Source organism: Homo sapiens, chromosome 2, assembly GCF_000001405.40.
Source record: "Homo sapiens chromosome 2, GRCh38.p14 Primary Assembly".
NCBI classification, from domain to species: domain Eukaryota; kingdom Metazoa; phylum Chordata; class Mammalia; order Primates; family Hominidae; genus Homo; species Homo sapiens.
Genome location: NC_000002.12, coordinates 135,027,535 through 135,045,233, shown reverse-complemented (window position 1 = coordinate 135,045,233; position 17,699 = coordinate 135,027,535). Strand labels below are relative to the sequence as shown.

The following is a 17,699-nucleotide window of genomic DNA, read 5'->3' as shown; positions in this document are numbered from 1 at the left end:
TGCTTCTCTTAAAAGAGCTTAAAGAAAACTGTTAGGCATTACTGGTGGGAGTGTAAATTGATACAGCCATTCTGGAGGACAATCTGGCAGTACTTTGTGAAATTAAATCCATTCGACCCACTTGCCCCAGAGAAACGTTTACAGGGTGCATAATAAGGTCCAAACAAGGATGTTTATCACAGTGTTGTTTGTGGAGTGGACAACTTAGATGTCCATCACTAAGGGAGTAATAAAATACGGTGAACATAAAACCAAAAACCTTGTACATATAAGTACAAGGATAAAGCTTAAAAAGCAAAGTGTTAACAAATAATTAACAAGATCTAGAGTACAATATTATTTGTGTAAATTAAAAACCAATGTAATATAACAGCACTACATGCCTTATAAGGATATACACTTATTGAGGATACCTCTCAGGCACATTAGATTGGGTTCTTATCAGGCAGAGGGGATCAGAGCTGAAGGGAAAAAATAAAACAAGAGGAAAGCCTGACACCATCCAGTGTGGCTAGCAAGGAGTAATGATGAGCTCATCCCCATCTAGCTAAGGTCCAAACATGAAAACGGAAATAAGACTATTCTGCAAATGTGCCTTTAAATACTAGTTCCATTACATCTTTTTTGTTGTCATTGTTTGTTTGAGATGGAGTTTCACTCTTGTTGCCCAGGCTGGAGTGCAATGGTGCAATCTCAGCTCACTGCAACCTCTGCCTCCCAGGTTCAAGTGATTCTCCTGCCTCAGCCTCCCAAGTAGCTTGTATTACAGGCATGCACCACCATGCCTGGCTAATTTTGTATTTTTAGTACAGATGGGGTTTCACCACGTTGGCCAAGTTGGTCTCGAACTCCTGACCTCGGGTGATCCACCCACATCGGCCTCCCAAAGTGCTGGGATTACAAGTATGAGCCACTGCGCCTGGCTCCATTACATCTTTTTGGGCAGTAGCACTCTCATCTCTCTGGAGTGAGATACCATTTTGCCAATGTCTGTGCTTCATTTTCCTCATCTATAGAATAGGGATAATAATACAACTGTTCTGATGGTGTTATTTGGAATTAAATAGAACAAACACCTGTAAACCATTTAGAAAAGCATATGACACGTAGCAAGCATTCAATAAATGTTGGGCATGATTGCTGTTGTTGTATTATTGTTATTATTATGTAACTTCACTTTGAACAAAGGTAGATAAAGACTTGAGGAATTCATTCACTATTTCAAAGTATTCTGCTAGAAATTTGAAGGGGAAACTAATATCTATTCTAGCAAGTTTAAATCAAAAGGAGTAACAGGTAGTAATGATAAATGTCAATTAGAAAACAAAGTGGATTGCAAGAAAGATTGTGGATTCAATTCTAATCACAAGATCTGTGTTTCTAGAAGTTGCCTTTTAATGTGGCAACTGATTGGGAGCCTCCCAGAGAAATAAAAAGATCACCAGTTGCCCAGGGTTAGTGAGGAGGGAGGAATGAATGGGCAGAACACAGGGGAGTTTTAGGGCCATGGAACTATTCTGTACCTTCTAAAATGGTGGATGCATGTCATTATACCTTTGTCCTAACCCATAGAATGTACAACACCAAGAGTGAACCCTAATTTACACTATGGACTTTGGGTGATAATACTGTTTGTAAGTTCATCTATTGTTAACAAATGTACTACTCTGGTGCAGGCTGTTGATGGCGAGGCCAGTAGGGGGCAGTGGAGAGGGAATATTCTGTACTTTCTGCCCAATTTTGCATAAAAAACTTAAAACTGCTCTAAGTAATAAAGTCAATTTTTAAAAGTCTATTAAAAATCTCTTTCAAAGAAAGAGAGTCGCCAGGCTCATCCCAGATCTACTAAAGGAAACTTGGAATCTTTATAACAAGGAAATGTTTATGTTCAAGCAAGTTCAGGAAACTGCACTGAGCTAAGGCCACCATTTCTTTGAAAGCCAAGAACACCAACCACACACACTTGTTTACATACTGGCTCTGCTGCTGACCTCATCTATTGTCTTTCTGTAAAAGGAATCACCTGCCCAGTAGTGGGTCCTCCCTTAGTTCCTGGACCCCAACCTCTTGGACCTTTTCATTGTCTATGGTCAATCAGTCACAAATCCTGTGAACCCTCACATTCAAATTTTGTTGTTGTTATTGTTTTTTGAGATGGAGTCTCGCTCTGTTGCCCAGGCTGGAGCGCAGTGGTTTGATCTCGGCTCACTGCAACCTGTGCCTCCTGGGTTCAAGTGATTCTTCTGCCTCTGCCTCCTGAGTAGCTGGGATTACAGGTGCGCGCCACCACACCCGGGTAATGTTTGTATTTTTTAGTAGAGACAAGGCTTCACCATGTTGGCCCAGCTGGTCTTGAACTCCCGAACTCAGGTGATCCCCTCCCCTCGGCCTCCCAAAGTGCTGGGATTACAGGCGTGAGCCACCATGCCCAGCCACATTCAAATTTTTGTTTCTGCCTTTTTCCTCTGCATCATAATAATCTTACTAAAGTACCAATGTTCCTAAAACGCACTGCTGAAAGCTCTCCATGGGCTTCCCGATGTGTTGGGGAATCCAGGGTAAATTCCCATCTGGTTTTACTCTCTCCTCCTCGGCCCCAGATAGAGGCCTGAGTTCATGCCTGTCCTTCATCAGAGCTGCCCATTCTCCTTCACTGTGACTCTCCAGATATCACGAATGCCTTCTTTCTTTTTTCTTTTTAATTTTCTTTTTTCTTTTTTTTTTTTTTTTTTGAGACAGAGTCTCGCTCTGTCGCCCAGGCTGGAGTGCAGTGGCGCGATCTCAGCTCACTGCAAGCTCCGCCTCCTGGGTTCACGCCATTCTCCTGCCTCAGCCTCCAGAGTAGCTGGGACTACAGGCGCCCGCCACCATGCCCAGCTAATGTTTTGTACTTTTAGTAGCGACGGGATTTCACCGTGTTAGCCAGAATGGTCTCAATCTCCTGACCTCGTGATCCGCCCGCCTCGGCCTCCCAAAGTGCTGGGATTACAGGCGTGAGCCACTACCTGGCAATGAATGCCTTCTTTCAAGGGGATCTTCCAGATCACATGGCCAGCCCATTTCTCTGACATCTGTAAGATTCATTATCTGATGTTTACATGGACACTTAATCACGTGTGTTCTTTCTTGTATTTTATCTAACCTATTTTGTGTTATGTTTATTGGGACTGGTCAATGAAAGCTGCTGAAGGGCATATAGCATCTTCCTAATGAATGGCTGAATTCATGGGCTAGTACTATTTCTAGAGTGAAATAGTACATGTTCTAGAGTACTATTTCTAGAACAGAACACATGTTCTCTGTGTTTCTGTACATGTTCACGTAGTCTGGCCCATGAATTCTGAAGGTATTTGTGTGTTTAGAACATTAAAGAGCAAATCTAGACTTTTTCTTGTTTGTTTTTCTTAGCTATCCTCCACAAACTTATACTATGAAATGAGCCTCTTGTTCTTTTGCTTTCAATCTCATGCCAGATTATAGCAAGGAAATTGCACATCGAATCAATAGCATGTGGCTACATACAGTGACTGTAGTGTCAGAAGCAGAAGTTGGAGTATAGAGCCTGACAAAGGATGTCGTGCTGTTACTAACAGCAAGAGACTCCAGGCTGGGTGCGGTGGCTCACGCCTGTAATCCCAGCACTTTGGGAGGCCAAAGTGGGCAGATCACCTGAGGTCAGGAATTCGAGACCAGCCTGGCCAACTCGTCTCTACCAAAAACTACAAAAATTAGCCAGGCATGGTGGCGCACCAGTAGTCCCAGCTACTCAGGAGACTGAGGCAGGAGAATCGCTTGAACCCAGGAGGCAGAGGTTGCAGTGAGCCAAGATCGTGACACAGCCCTCTAGCCTGGGCGAGAGAGTGAGACTCTATCTCAAAATTAAAAAAAAAAAAAAGGTTCCATGCAGGAGAGGGTAGTTCGGTGACCTCCAAAATTGCAATTTGAGATATTTCAATGATTTGGAAAACTGATATGAGTTATTTAAAATTAGGGCTTTCCGGAAAATCCAGAACAGTGGGCACTGTGCTCCTTAATGATTCCCACTGTGCTAGAATCACAGAGGAGACAAAAGGATAAGTCATGTAATGTCCCTGCTATTGAGGAGCTTATAGTATTGTTGGGAAGCTAGGACTTTCAGAAAGGAAATACGTATAAGGTGGTTAATAAACAAGCTAAAAAAAAAAACCAACAAGAATTTTCACCTGTAGAATGTGCCAACCCTCTGTAGATCATATTTCAGATCCTTACCAACCTTCTGAAGAGGGGACAATCATTTCCATTTTAGAGATAAGTAAATGCAGCCCAGAGATAAGCCATATGGTCGTGGTCACACAGTTGGTAATCTGTGGAGAAGGAATTTAAATCCAGGTTCTACTGGGCTCCAAGCTTGTGCTGTTTCCATTCTACTGTGGATACATCCTCTCTTCTCCTCTACCACAGCAGATCTTCCAAAATAATGGTGAAATTATTATTCTTCCTAATTCAGCATGTACACAAAGAACCAAGCCTGGTGGTATTGCGGCATTTCCCCCTATTTTCAAAATTGTCTTTAAAACTGTTATAAGAATTTTATACATAAAAGAAGGAAACAGGTGGCAGTAAAGGCAGAATATGTTACATTTGAACCACTCACAGCTTTGCTGGCTCTCATATAATTAAATCGTTCCTTTTCAAGGCAATCATGTGGAACTAGCAAGATGAATAAAAATAAACTGATTCATTATTTCCTAGAAGTGGTTTCAAGAGGTGATGTGGAACTCATCTGTGACTATATTACCGAAGTCCAATCCATCCTCGGAAACCTTGACTTTCAGCACCCAGAGACGTGGAATACGCCTCTCATTACTGCAGCAGAGGAAAATCTAACAGAGGTAACATGTGGCATGCTGGGCTCAAGGATAAAAAGTCTTCCAAACTAAGGATTCTGAGAGTGAGATATTTGTGAATAGTGATATCACCCATTGCCATGAAAGAATGTCTGAAGACACAAAGTGGGGTATGGGGAGGTGGATACTGTAAATCTAGATAGGAACCATCTCTATTCATTTCCTCACTCGGTCCACAAATATTCCTGCTATATCCAAGGTGATCACTAGATTTTATGGTGGATCTGGATGTGAATCAAACACAGATGCCACCCCCGAGGAGCTAATGGTCTAATGGCGCCACATGATGGACCCTCAACTCCATCAGTACCTGGAAATTTATGCTTTGCTCTAACAAATGCACGTAAACCTGGAAGTAGGGAAACAGGGGTAAATACGTGAATAATAAGGCTTAAAAGGGCAGCAGACTTTGTCCTCTTTGTTCTAGCTGTATCTCCAGCTACCAGCAGAGAGCCTGACCCAGCCAGGGGTTAATAAATATTTATTAAATGGAGACATTAATGAAAAAGTAACCCATTTGGGTCTTATTCATCAGTTATATCATTGTGTGCCATAACTTCTAAAGTTCTGTTTAAGCATTCAGGTAAAAGTGGCAACAATATGAGCATGTAGAGTTGGGGAGAGGCAGCAAAGAGGGAGGCTTCATGAATAGAAAGGGCAAGAATAGGGAAACTAGGCTGGAAAAGACAAATTTTACTCAACTGCACAAGTTGATGCCTCTATAAGTTCTTGGGACTTTGTTTTTTTGTTTGTTTGTTTTGTTTTTTGAGACAGGGTCACTCTGTCACCAGGCTGGAGTACAGTGGCACCATCTGGGCTGACTGCAGCCTCAACCTGCCCAGACTCAGGTGATTCTCCAAACTCAGTCTCCCAAGTCGCTGGAAATTACAGACGCATACCACCATGCCCGGCTAATTTTTTTTTTTTTGGAGACATGGGGTTTCAGCATGTTTCCCAGGCTGGTCTCAAACTCTTGGTTTCAAGAGATCCACACGCCTCAGCCTCACAAAGTGCTGGTATTCCAGGCATGGGCCACTGCACCTGGCCAGTTCTTGGTACTTTAAATGCAAGTGGACCCTCAATCCTGCCTGGTCACCTTTGCTTCCTCAATTAGCCTCTCTTGACTATGTTTTAAGCTCTTTTTCTTTTTTGACTCCTTTCCATGAATGCTTTTTAAACAAATTATAAAATATAGCACATATGCTAAAAAAAAAAAAAAAAAAAGAAAGAAAATTAATGAAACAAGCACCTGTGTACCCAACACCCAGGCCAAAAATTAGAACATTGCCATGCCTCAAAAGCCCTCTCTGTATATGCCTGTCTTGAATTGCATCCCCCACCCTGGCTAACCATTATCTTGAATTTTGGGTTAATAATTTCCTGGCCACCTCTGCATCCATGCCTAAGTAATTACTTGCTTTTTCCTGGTATTGAATATTATAAAAACAAACTCACACTATATATGCTCTTGCATAACCTTTTTTTTTTTTGAGATGGAGTCTCACTCGGTAGCCCAGGCTGGAGTTCAGTGGCATGATCTCGGCTCACAGCAACCTCTGCCTCCTGGGCTCAAGCGATTCTCATGCCTCAGTCTCCCAAGTAGTTGGGATTACAGGTGTGCACCACCATGTCCAGCTAATTTTTTGTATTTTTAGTAGAGATGGGGTTTCGCCATGTTGCCCAGGCTGGTCCCAAGCTCCTGACAGACTCAGGCAATCCACCCACCTTGGCCACCCAAAGTGCTGGGATTACAGGCAAGAACCACTGTGCCTGTATTGTGGCATATATTTTTATCTAATGGAACACTAGATAGCACTAAAAATGAAAAACTGTAGCTACACTTCATGTTTCAAAATGGAGGAATCCCAAAAACATGATAATGAACAGAAGCAGCAAGTTATGCAGGAACATGGCTGGTCATGGTGGCTCAGGCCTGTAATCCCAGCACTTTGGGAGGCTGAGGTGGGAGGATTGCTTGAGGTCTGGAAAAAGAGCTTAAATATATACATACACATATATACATACATATATACATACATACATAAATATATACATACAAATATATACATACACATATGTATATATATGCCACAATTTATCTGCCTACACAATTTATCTCCCTATCCTACTCTGGTGGACATCTGGGTGGTCTCCAGATTCTTGTCATTACAAACAATGATGCTTCTTTCCATCAGCATTTAAAAATGCTTAGATAAGTGCCTTCTGCCAGCCCATAAAGAAGCAAACACCTCCCCTGATCCCATGTCCTCCTGCAACCACTTCCTTTCCTCTCTCAGGCCCTTTCACTCGCAGACATCTCTCAAGAACTATGAAGGATCTGGGATTTTACCCTACTCGCAGCTAATGAGTTAGCGTGCCAGAATTGCTTGGATTCCTAGCAGAAGAAACAACTACTGGATCAGAGAAAAAGGGCAGTGTGTTTATTCATAACAATAGCATTAGTCAGAATTTTAGCAGTTTTGTGTTAGTTCCCTAAGCCCTAATTCCCACTGAGTGATAGGAAGAGGACCAGGTGACCCCTGAACATGCAGTGAGTTGCATGACAGCAGAGGAACCCTCAACTTAGAGACCCCTAATAATTTACAATGTGCAGTGAGCAAAGCTACTCTTTGCTGCAGAAGGAGACACTATTTCTATCTTCCAAGGCCATTCACTATACAAATAAGCTTGAAAAGTTTGCATGGAATAAAGACACTTGGCACTTTTGCTCACAAGACCTGCAGAAATGTAAGAGACCCATGGAGACATGCCTCCTAACAATGTCCACCCCTCATTTCTACACTATCTTGGCATCTGATTAACTTTCTCATTATTTCATCACTCTCTTGGCCACTCTGATTAATCTCACCAACAGAGTCTGGGACCAAATTCATCAATTTGTCTCATATAACATTCAATGAAAGCTACTGTCAACAGAACTCCAAGCAGCAGGAGGAGGCCAGTCTACAGTACTCACCTCAACAATGCTGCGCAAAGTCCTGAATCCATTCAGCTGAACAAATCACATAAACCATCCGGGTCTGCTGTCAAAAACCAGGTGATGGCTCACGCCTGTAATCCCAGCACTTTGGGAGGCCGAGGCAGGTGGATCACCTAAGGTCAGGAGTTTGAGACCAACCTGGCCAACATGGGTGAAACCCCATCTCTTCTAAAAATGCAAATATTAGCCGGGCATGATGGCGGGTTCCTGTAATCTCAGCTACTACAGAGGCTGAGGCCGGAGAATTGCTTGAACCCAGGAGGCAGAGGTTGCAGTGAGCCAAGATAGTGCCACTGCACTCCAGCCTGGGCAACAGAGGGAGATTCTGTCTTAAAAAAAAAAAAAAAGAATGTTTTACTGGTTTATCCTCACTGCCTCTACTTACTTACCTCTTCAAACTACTGCAGTCTGACATCTTCCTCTACTACTCCATTGAAACTGCTCTTGCCAATGTTCCCTACAATGTCCTTTGCCGCTTCTACCTCTTAGCACCATTGGACTCCAATTTTTCTTCAAGTATTTTCTTCCTTGACCTCCTCCTGGTTTTTCTTCTTACCTCTCTGGCAACTTCTATCCAGTCCCCTTTATGGGTTGTTTCTTCTCATCCCTTAAATGTTGGTGTCCTTCAATCATGTGAGGATGGCCCCTGATTCTCAAGCACATATCACACACACACACACACACACACACACACACACACACACACACATAATGTTGAACTCCAACTAAATATTTCCACTTGTATATTACAGACATCCCAAACATAACATGTCCAAAATTATCTTCATCATCTTTCTTCCCAAACCTTACCCTCCTGAGGGACACCAGCATCAGTGTTACCCATCTTATGAAATCAAATAAACATTTAATTATTTGAAATTGAATTAAATTAAGGCATCATTATCTATTTATCTTAAACTACTCATTCACTCATTCATAAAATATTTATTCATGTGATAAGATCTCTTGCTCTTGGGGACTTACATTTGAATGAAGGTGAAACACAACAAATAAGGAAACAAGAAGCACTTCAATAAATTACAAATTGTTATTAGTACTTTGAAGTAACCAATAGAGTGGCTTGTCTTTTGAGAAAGTGGTCAAGAAATCCTTAATGATGTGGTTGTATTTATGCTAAGACATAAACGAAGGGCAATTGGGGTAGAGGGAACAGCAAAGACAAAGGCCTTGGTTAGGAAAAAAAAAATCTTGGCCAGGCGCCCAGTGGCTCAAACCTGTAATCCCAGCACTTTGGGAGGCTGAGGCGGGCGGATCACTTGAGGTTGGGAGTTCGCGACCAGCCTGACCAACATGGAGAAACCCCGTCTCTACTAAAACTACCAAATTAGCCGGGCGTCATGGTGGGGGCCTGTAATCCCAGCTACTCAGGAGGCTGAGGCAGGAAAATCGCTTGAACCCTGGAGGCGGAGGTTGCAGTGAGCCGAGATCGTGCCATTGCACTCCAGCCTGGGCAACGAGAGTGAAACTCCGTCTCAAAAAGGAAAAAAAAATCTTGCATTTTTGAAGTATAGAAAGGTGACTTGATCTTGCAGAGGGAGGGTGAAGAATGGCACAAGATAAAGCTGGAAATGCAGGCAGGGGCTGGATCATGCAAAGCCATAAAGGCATGCAAAGCCATTTTCAAAAACAGCTTTATTGAGATAAAATTCATATACCATACAATTTACTTACTTAAAGTGGCCACTTCCATGTTTTTTTGTATATTCATATTAATGTGCAATCCTCACAATTGATTTTAGAGCACCTATCATCTCAAAAAGAACTTCATCCCCAGAAAAAGAAGATAAAAAGAAACCCGATATCCTTTAGCTATCACTCTATATCCTTTCTTCCCAACTCCCACCCCAGCCCTAAGCAGCCACTTACCTACTTTCTGTTTGTATAGCTGTTCCTTTTTTATTGTTTTTTGTTTGTCTGTTTGTTTGTTTTGAGACAGGATCTCACTCTGTTGCCCAGGCTGGAGTGCAGTAGCACGATCACAGCTCACTGCAGGCCCTACCTCCTGGGCTGAGGTGATCCTCCTGCCTCAGCCTCCCAGGTAGCTGGGACTACAGGCATGTGCCATCATGCCCAGCTAATTTTTGTATTTTTTGTAGAGACAGGGTTTCACCAAGTTGCCCAGGCTGGTCTTGAACTCCTGAGCTAAAGTGATCCACCTGCTTCGGCCTCCCAAAGTGCTGGGATTACAGGTGTGAGCCACCGTGCTTGGCCTCTGTAACTTTTCTTATTTGGGATTTTCATATGAATGGAATCATATAGTATGTGGTCTCCTGTGATTGGCTTCTTTCACTTAGCATAATGTTTTCAAGGTTCATTCATGTTGTAGCATGTGTCAATACTTTATTTTTATAACCAAATAATATCACATTTTCTTGATATACAACATTTTGGGATTTTAGGCTAAAGATAATAGGTTTGCTTCCCTCAAGAAATAGGGTTTGGCTCTCCCTCTCCCTCTCCCTCTCCCCCTCCCCCTCCCCCTCCCCCTCCCCCTCCCCCTCTCCCCACAGCCCACGGTCTCCCCCTCCCTCTCTTTCCACGGTCTCCCTCTGATGCCCAGCCGAAGCTGGACTGTACTGCTGCCATCTCGGCTCACTGCAACCTCCCTGCCTGATTCTCCTGCCTCAGCCTGCCGAGTGCCTGTAGCGCGCCACCACGCCTGACTGGTTTTCTTACTTTTTTGGTGGAGACGGGGTTTCGCTGTGTTGGCCGGGCTGGTCTCCAGCTCCTAACCGCGAGTGATCCGCCAGCCTCGGCCTCCCGAGGTGCCGGGATTGCAGACGGAGTCTGGTTCACTCAGTGCTCAATGGTGCCCAGGCTGGAGTGCAGTGGCGTGATCTCGGCTCGCTACAACCTCCACCTCCCAGCCGCCTGCCTTGGCCTCCCAAAGTGCCGAGATTGCAGCCTCTGCCCGGCCGCCACCCCTTCTGGGAAGTGAGGAGCATCTCTGCCTGGCCACCCATCGTCTGGGACGTGAGGAGCCCCTCTGCCTGGCTGCCCAGTCTGGAAAGTGAGGAGTGCCTCTTCCCGGCCGCCATCCCGTCTGGGAAGTGAGGGGCGTCTCTGCCCGGCCGCCATCCCATCTAGGAAGTGAGGAGCACCTCTTCCCGGCCACCATCCCATCTAGGAAGTAAGGAGCGTCTCTGCCCGGCCGCCCATCGCCTGAGATGTGGGGAGCGCCTCTGCCCCGCGGCCCCGTCTGGGATGTGAGAGCATCCGGCCGCGACCCCGTCTGGGAGGTGAGGAGCATCTCTGCCCGGCCGCCCCATCTGAGAAGTGAGGAGACCCTCCGCCTGGCAACTGCCCCGTCTGAGAAGTGAGGAGCCCCTCCGCCCGGCAGCCGCCCCGTCTGAGAAGTGAGGAGCCCCTACGCCCGGCAGCCACCCTGTCTGGGAAGTGAGGAGCGTCTCCGCCCGGCAGCCACCCCGTCCGGGAGGGAGGTGGGGGTCAGCCCCCGCCAGGCCAGCCACCCCGTCCGGGAGGGAGGTGGGGGGGTCAGCCCCCCCGCCCGGCCAGCCACCCCGTCCGGGAGGTGAGGGGCGCCTCTGCCCGGCCACCCCTACTGGGAAGTGAGGAGCCCCTCTGCCCGGCCAGCCACCCCGTCCGGGAGGGAGGTGGGGGGGGTTAGCCCCCCCGGCCGGCCGCCCGTCCGGGGGGTGGGGGGCGCCTCTGCCCAGCCACCCCTGCTGGGAGGTGGGGAGCCCCTCTGCCCGGCCAGCCGCCCCGTCTGGGAGGGCGGTGGGGGGGTCAGCCCCCCGCCCGCCAGCCGCCCCGTCCGGGAGGTGAGGGGCGCCTCTGCCCGGCTGCCCCTACTGGGAAGTGAGGAGCCCCTCTGCCCGGCCAGCCGCCCCGTCCGGGGGGTGGGGGGCGCCTCTGCCCGACCGCCCCTACTGGGAAGTGAGGATCCCCTCTGCCCGGCCAGCCGCCCCGTCCGGGAGGGCAGTGGGGGGGGTCAGCCCCCCACCCGGCCAGCTGCCCCGTCCGGGAGGTGAGGGGCGCCTCTGCCCAGCCGCTCCTACTGGGAGGTGAGGAGCCCCTCTGCCCGGCCAGCCGCCCTGTCTGGGAGGGAGGTGGGGGGGTCAGCCCCCCGCCCGGCCAGCCGCCTCGTCTGGGAGATGAGGGGCGCCTCTGCCCGGCCGCCCCTACTGGGATGTGAGGAGCCCCTCTGCCCGGCCACCACCCCGTCTGGGAGGTGTACCCAACAGCTCATTGAGAACGGGCCATGATGACAATGGCGGTTTTGTGGAATAGAAAGGGGGGAAAGGTGGGGAAAAGATTGGGAAATCGGATGGTTGCCGTGTCTGTGTAGAAAGAAGTAGACATGGGAGACTTTTCATTCTGTTCTGTACCAAGAAAAATTCTTCTGCCTTGGGATCCTGTTGATCCGTGACCTTACCCCCAACCCTGTGCTCTCTGAAACATGTGCTGTGTCCACTCAGGGTTAAATGGATTAAGGGCGGTGCAAGATGTGCTTTGTTAAACAGATGCTTGAAGGCAGCATGCTCGTTAAGAATCATCACCACTCCCTAATCTCAAGTACCCAGGGACACAAACACTGCGGAAGGCTGCAGGGTCCTCTGCCTAGGAAAACCAGAGACCTTTGTTCACTTGTTTATCTGCTGACCTTCCCTCCACTATTGTCCTATGACCCTGCCAACTCCCCCTCTGCGAGAAACACCCAAGAATGATCAATTAAAAAAAATAAATAAATAAAATAAAATTAAATTAAATTAAAAAAAAAACAAACAACATTTTATTTATCCAATCCATTGACAGAAAATGGTTCTTTTCATCTTTTGGTTACTATGAATAATGCTTCTGTAAACATTTTGGTGTGAGTATATGTTTTCATTTCTCCTGAGTACCATACCTAGGAGTGGAATTGCTGGATCATAGGGGAGTTCTATGTTTAATCATTTGAGGAACTGACAGACTGTTTTTCTTTTCTTTTCTTTTTTTTTTTTTTTTTCAGACAGAGTCTCACTCTGTCACCCAGGCCAGAGTGCAGTGGTGCAATCTCAGCTCATTGCAACCTCTGCCCCCTGGTTTCAAGCAATTCTCCTGCCTCAGCCTCCCGAATAGCTGGGATTACAGGCGCCTGCCACTGTGCCTGGCTAATTTTTGTATTTTTAGTAGAGATGGGGTTTCACCATCTTGGCCAGGCTGGTCTTGAACTCCTGACCTCATGATCCACCCACCTTGGCCTCCCAAACTAGACTGTTTTTCAAAGTGGATGCACCATTTACACTTCCACCAGCAGAAATGGTGGTATGAGGGCTCCAAGTTCTTCTCATCTTTCCAACTCTTGCTGTTATCTGAATTTTTGATTTGGGCCTTTCTAGTGGGTTTCATGCAGAAGCACTTGAAATGGAGAGAAGGCTGTTCCATTGCTTCAGACAAGGGACCATGGTGGCCTGGTCTGCCGTGGCAGTACAGCAGACAGATAAAAGTACACTGAAGACAGTATCTTGGAATTATCCCTGATTTCTGGCTCAGTGTTAACATCCACATTGAATAAATGGCTATGTTTTGTTAATTCCACCTCCTAAGTGTTCCTAGATTATGCCCTCAGCCACTAAATCTCCACTACCATTTCTCTTGTTCAGTCGCTGTCGTCTCTCCATGAGGCCACTGTGGTAGTCCTCTCCCTGGTTCCCCACTTCCCTTCTTCCCCACATCAATCTATTTCAGCAGTCAGAGTGATTTTCTAAAACACTGACCTGATTATGTCATTTTCCTGAGGAAAATCTTTCACTGTCTGCCTATTGCCCTGAAGACACAGCCCTAACTCCTCAGAGGGGTTTGTCAGGTCTTTCAGGACTGAGGCACAGCTGATTTCTCCACCCACATCTCCTTCTCTTCCTTTTCTTATTCTGGGCTCTAGACATACCTAACTCCTTCCAAAGCTTTGAATATTACTTGCCCTCTTGTACACACTGTACTTTATTCACACTGTATCCTCTGCTTGGAACAATCTTTCTCCCAGTCTGCCTGGCTGAGTCTGATTCCTCAGGTCTCAGCTTAGACATCACTTTCTCCAAAAAGTCTTCGCAGACTCTCCAAGATATCTTAATAGATTTTGTCGAAGTGCCCCCATCATCCTCCTGTATTCACTTCTCTTGTTACATTTATCACCCCATGTTGCAATTGCCTTTTTTTTTTTTTTTAAATATGTCTCTGTTCTTCACTAGACTGCAAATACTTTAAAGGCTGGCTGCTGGTCTTGTTCATTGGTGCAGTCTCAGCACCAAGGACAGTTCTTAACATGCAACTGGGCAGTCTGTCCCCTCACCATATTGAATAGAGTTTACTCTCTTTCTAGAAACACTTGCAGAAATACTTGTGACATTCAAGGATATATAAGCCTGAATCATCTTTGTTTTTGTATTTTTTAGAGACAGGATCTTGCTATGTTGCCCAGGTTAGAGTGCAGTGGCTATTCACAGTAGGATTATAGTGCATGATGGCCTTGAACTCCTGGGCTCAAGTGATCCTCCCGCCTCAACCTCCCAGTAGCTGGGATTACAGGCACACAAAACCATGCCTGCTCCCTTTGGTTTTGTATTTTTGATTATAGACAGTTATAAAACTTCAATGTTTTGTGTGGATTTAACATACAATACTCATAGATCTCTAGTCCCTGCAAAAAAGACTATCCAAAAATCATGCATGTCATGGAGATTTTTGTTCCCCAAATTAAAAAGGGCAAATAGCAGTTACCCACATCCCGATGAATCAGAGCCATGCCTAAGTCAGTTTTCCACCCAGCTCTGAAGACACTGTTGGTACTTAAAAATATTTAACTAAGACTGTGTCATTTTGCAGGTTGTTGGATTTCTTCTGGAAAAGTGAGTAGATATCACCCTTTGCAATTACAGCAATCGAACCGCAATTCATGTAGCTAATTGCAATATCCAAAGACAACTCTTGGCAGTCAATAGAATCCAGGCTCCCCAAATGCAACTTCTACAAAGTTCATGGCAAGGTGATCTTGAGCAAGTTCAACATTTACTGGTTAGTTGATATTTGTTTCTGTCTTTGGGTGGGTGAGTGGATGGTGAAAAGGGCACAGACTACATATGACTCCTTTTAAAGAAAAATAAATTCTTTTCAAATATAATCCTAGGAAGTTTCAGACAAAACATATAAAAAAGAAAGGGGATCAAACAGGACACTGGGGTGGAAAACAAGATAATAAAAGAACACAGGAGCAGTCGATTTCCACCTTCCTCAAGCTGGGTGCTAGAAGTCACACAACACCCCTGGGAAATGATTTGCTCCCAGGAAGCCTCCAGAGGACCACTATCAACTTGCTCAGAGGAGTTCCCTTGGCATCATTGCCATTTGTACAATTGCTGCTTTGATCCCTTTGGACCAGTTGCTGTTATTATCTTTATCCTGAAAAAGGAATCTGAGAGCCTATGCCTTGCCTAATATTTAGTTGTCATGAAAGAGTTCAGAGGATACATTTTTAAAGGGCTGTCTTCTCAGGGTATTGATCCTTGTGTTTAGATTTTCTACTTACAGATACTTTTTCCCAAAGCAACTTGCAAAATCATATGCATAACCAAGGACATTAATTATTGGTGACTGGCAATTGCCTACTCTTGGCATTTACCTTCAAAGAGACTGTCAGACCATGTGACCTTCCAACTGAAAGAAAATCAATTGCTGCTAGGAAACAGTTTCTTCTAATCCCTTATGGTAAAGACACAAACAGATAAAGAAAAAAGTGAAAGATATTCCACTCAGGTACAGTTCAAGAAGAGATATAACAAAACCAAACAATACTTCAAATTCTTTTGTTGGACTAAATGATAGTCTAAAATTGCCAGACATCACGAACTGAGGCTTAGAAATTTTTTTGAAAGACAATGTATTTTACTTAATGGTGTTTCCAGCAGTTGTAATTGTAATCTAATGTTTTTTTGTTTGTTTGTTTATTTGTTTTTTTGACAGTCTTGCTCTGTCGCCCAGGCTGGAGTGCAGTGGCGCGATCTCGGCTCACTGCAATCTCCACCTCCCGGGTTCACGCCATTCTCCCACCTCAGCCTCTGGAGTAGCTGGGACTACAGGCGCCCGCCACCATGCCCGTCTAATTTTATTTTTGTATTTTCAGTAGAGACGGGGTTTCACCATGTTAGCCAGGTTGGTCTCGATCTCCTGACCTTGTGATCTGCCCGCCTCGGCCTCCCAAAGTGCTGGGATTACAGGCGTGAGCCACTGCGCCCGGCCCAATGTCTGTTTTTATAGCCACATTTTTAACCCCTAAACATTAGGAACCAAGTTTTAAGAAACTGGTACCTGTAACTGGATCTATACCTTGATCAACAGATGCTGAATTGATATGCTATTGCAAGACTATTCTCAGTTCAAAATTTTCATATTGGTTCTAACTAATAATAAACATTGATATCAGAGGTGGTTTCTTCTTAGCGACTAAAAAAAAAAATTAACTAATTAATTCCCACAGTACCCTGCTGAAGTAATACCATTATTTCTAGTTTGTCCCTAGAGAAGCTGAGGTAGAGACACTGAGTATACTTACATGGCATAAAGTGAAATAGAGATGGAAATTAGTGCATTTCTTTGGTCTATAAAATGAACAATTTAGGTGTTTTGGCCTGCGGTAGCTTTTCAGTTTTGAATTATCCAAATTAAGTTTTACTTTCATTAAGGCATCAAATTACATTCATATGCCTCCCTCCATTTGACTATGTAAATACAGGTAAGTTAGTTGTTTTTTTTAAATTTTTTTTTTTTTTTTTGAGACAGAGTCTCACTATGTTGCCAAGGCTGGAGTGCAGTGGCGTGATCACAGCTCACTGCAGCCTCGACTTTCCCAGGCTCAGGTGATCCTCCCACCTCAGCCTCCTGAGTCACCAGGACTACAGGTGCATGCCACCATGCCTGGCTAATTTTTTGTATTTTTAGTAGAGATGGGGTTTTGCCATGTTGCCCAGGCTGGTCTCAAACTCCTGGGCTCAAGCAATCCACATGCCTCAGCCTTCTAAAGTGCTGGGATTACAGGTGTGAGCCACCATGCCCGGCTGAGCTGCTGTATTATTATAAATTATTTATTCATTCAGTGAATGTTTACTGAGCACCTACTGTGTGTTAGACACTCTGCTAAGTACTTTTTACATTCTAGCACCAATCAGCAACATAACCCTACAAGGAAGACGCTACTATTCCACCTTACAACTGAGGGCTCTGAAGTTTAGCAAATAGGGTTGCCAGATTTTGCAAATAAAAATACAGGACACCCAGTTAAATTTAAATTTCAGATAAACAACAAATAGTTTTTTGTATAAATACATCCCAAATGAAAATTATACATGATTCAACTGGATACCCTCAATTTATCAGGGTGATTTGATCACCTTTTAACAGGGTGTCCCTGATACAACCTGTCAGGGAAGTTAAATAACCACCTTAAGCAGCTGAGATTGAAACCCAGATCTGTCTTTCTGGCTTGTGTTCTTTCACCTCATCAGTTCCCTTTCAGGACAGACACTGAGAAAGAACATATTGAAGTTATAATGAAACGTTGGCCAAGCAATGAAAATGCAAAGATTAGCATAAAGAGCTATGCAGTAAAAACACAACAGAAATAAAGCTGCATGTTTTTAAAGGCATCTGAAGAGTTCCTGGATATAAATTTCCCAAACCAACATGGCTTGACCCCTCTGATGCTGGCTGTGAGAGATGTGGACCTGTTTGAGAGTCTTGACATGTTAACAGTGTACAAACCTGTGGAAGTTCTGTCCCAGCTCCTAAGGCATCATGCG

The 17,699-nt window shown here is 45.0% G+C and overlaps 1 protein-coding gene across 4 annotated transcripts in view, besides 1 other annotated feature; it reads left to right on the top strand.

The window, feature by feature from the left end:
• The window catches only part of MAP3K19 (mitogen-activated protein kinase kinase kinase 19), an 82,957-nt gene that overhangs the window by 2,214 nt on the left and 63,044 nt on the right, over positions 1-17,699 (top strand). For 2 of the 4 annotated variants that reach the window (XM_017005004.3, NM_025052.5), the window contains exons 2-3: positions 4,732-4,871; positions 14,734-14,922. The gene's annotated coding sequence lies outside the window, so the exon portion shown is untranslated. Of the gene's footprint in view, positions 1-4,675; positions 4,872-14,733; positions 14,923-17,699 lie in introns of all 4 variants that reach the window. The other 2 variants (NM_001400438.1, XM_017005005.3) reach the window with 2 other exon arrangements.
• Positions 14,078-14,278: a silencer, noted in NCBI's record as "peak3873 fragment used in MPRA reporter construct". NCBI's record gives its function as "represses an SCP1 promoter by STARR-seq MPRAs in K562 erythroleukemia cells {active_cell/tissue: K562}" and the evidence as "EXISTENCE:reporter gene assay evidence [ECO:0000049][PMID:32103011]".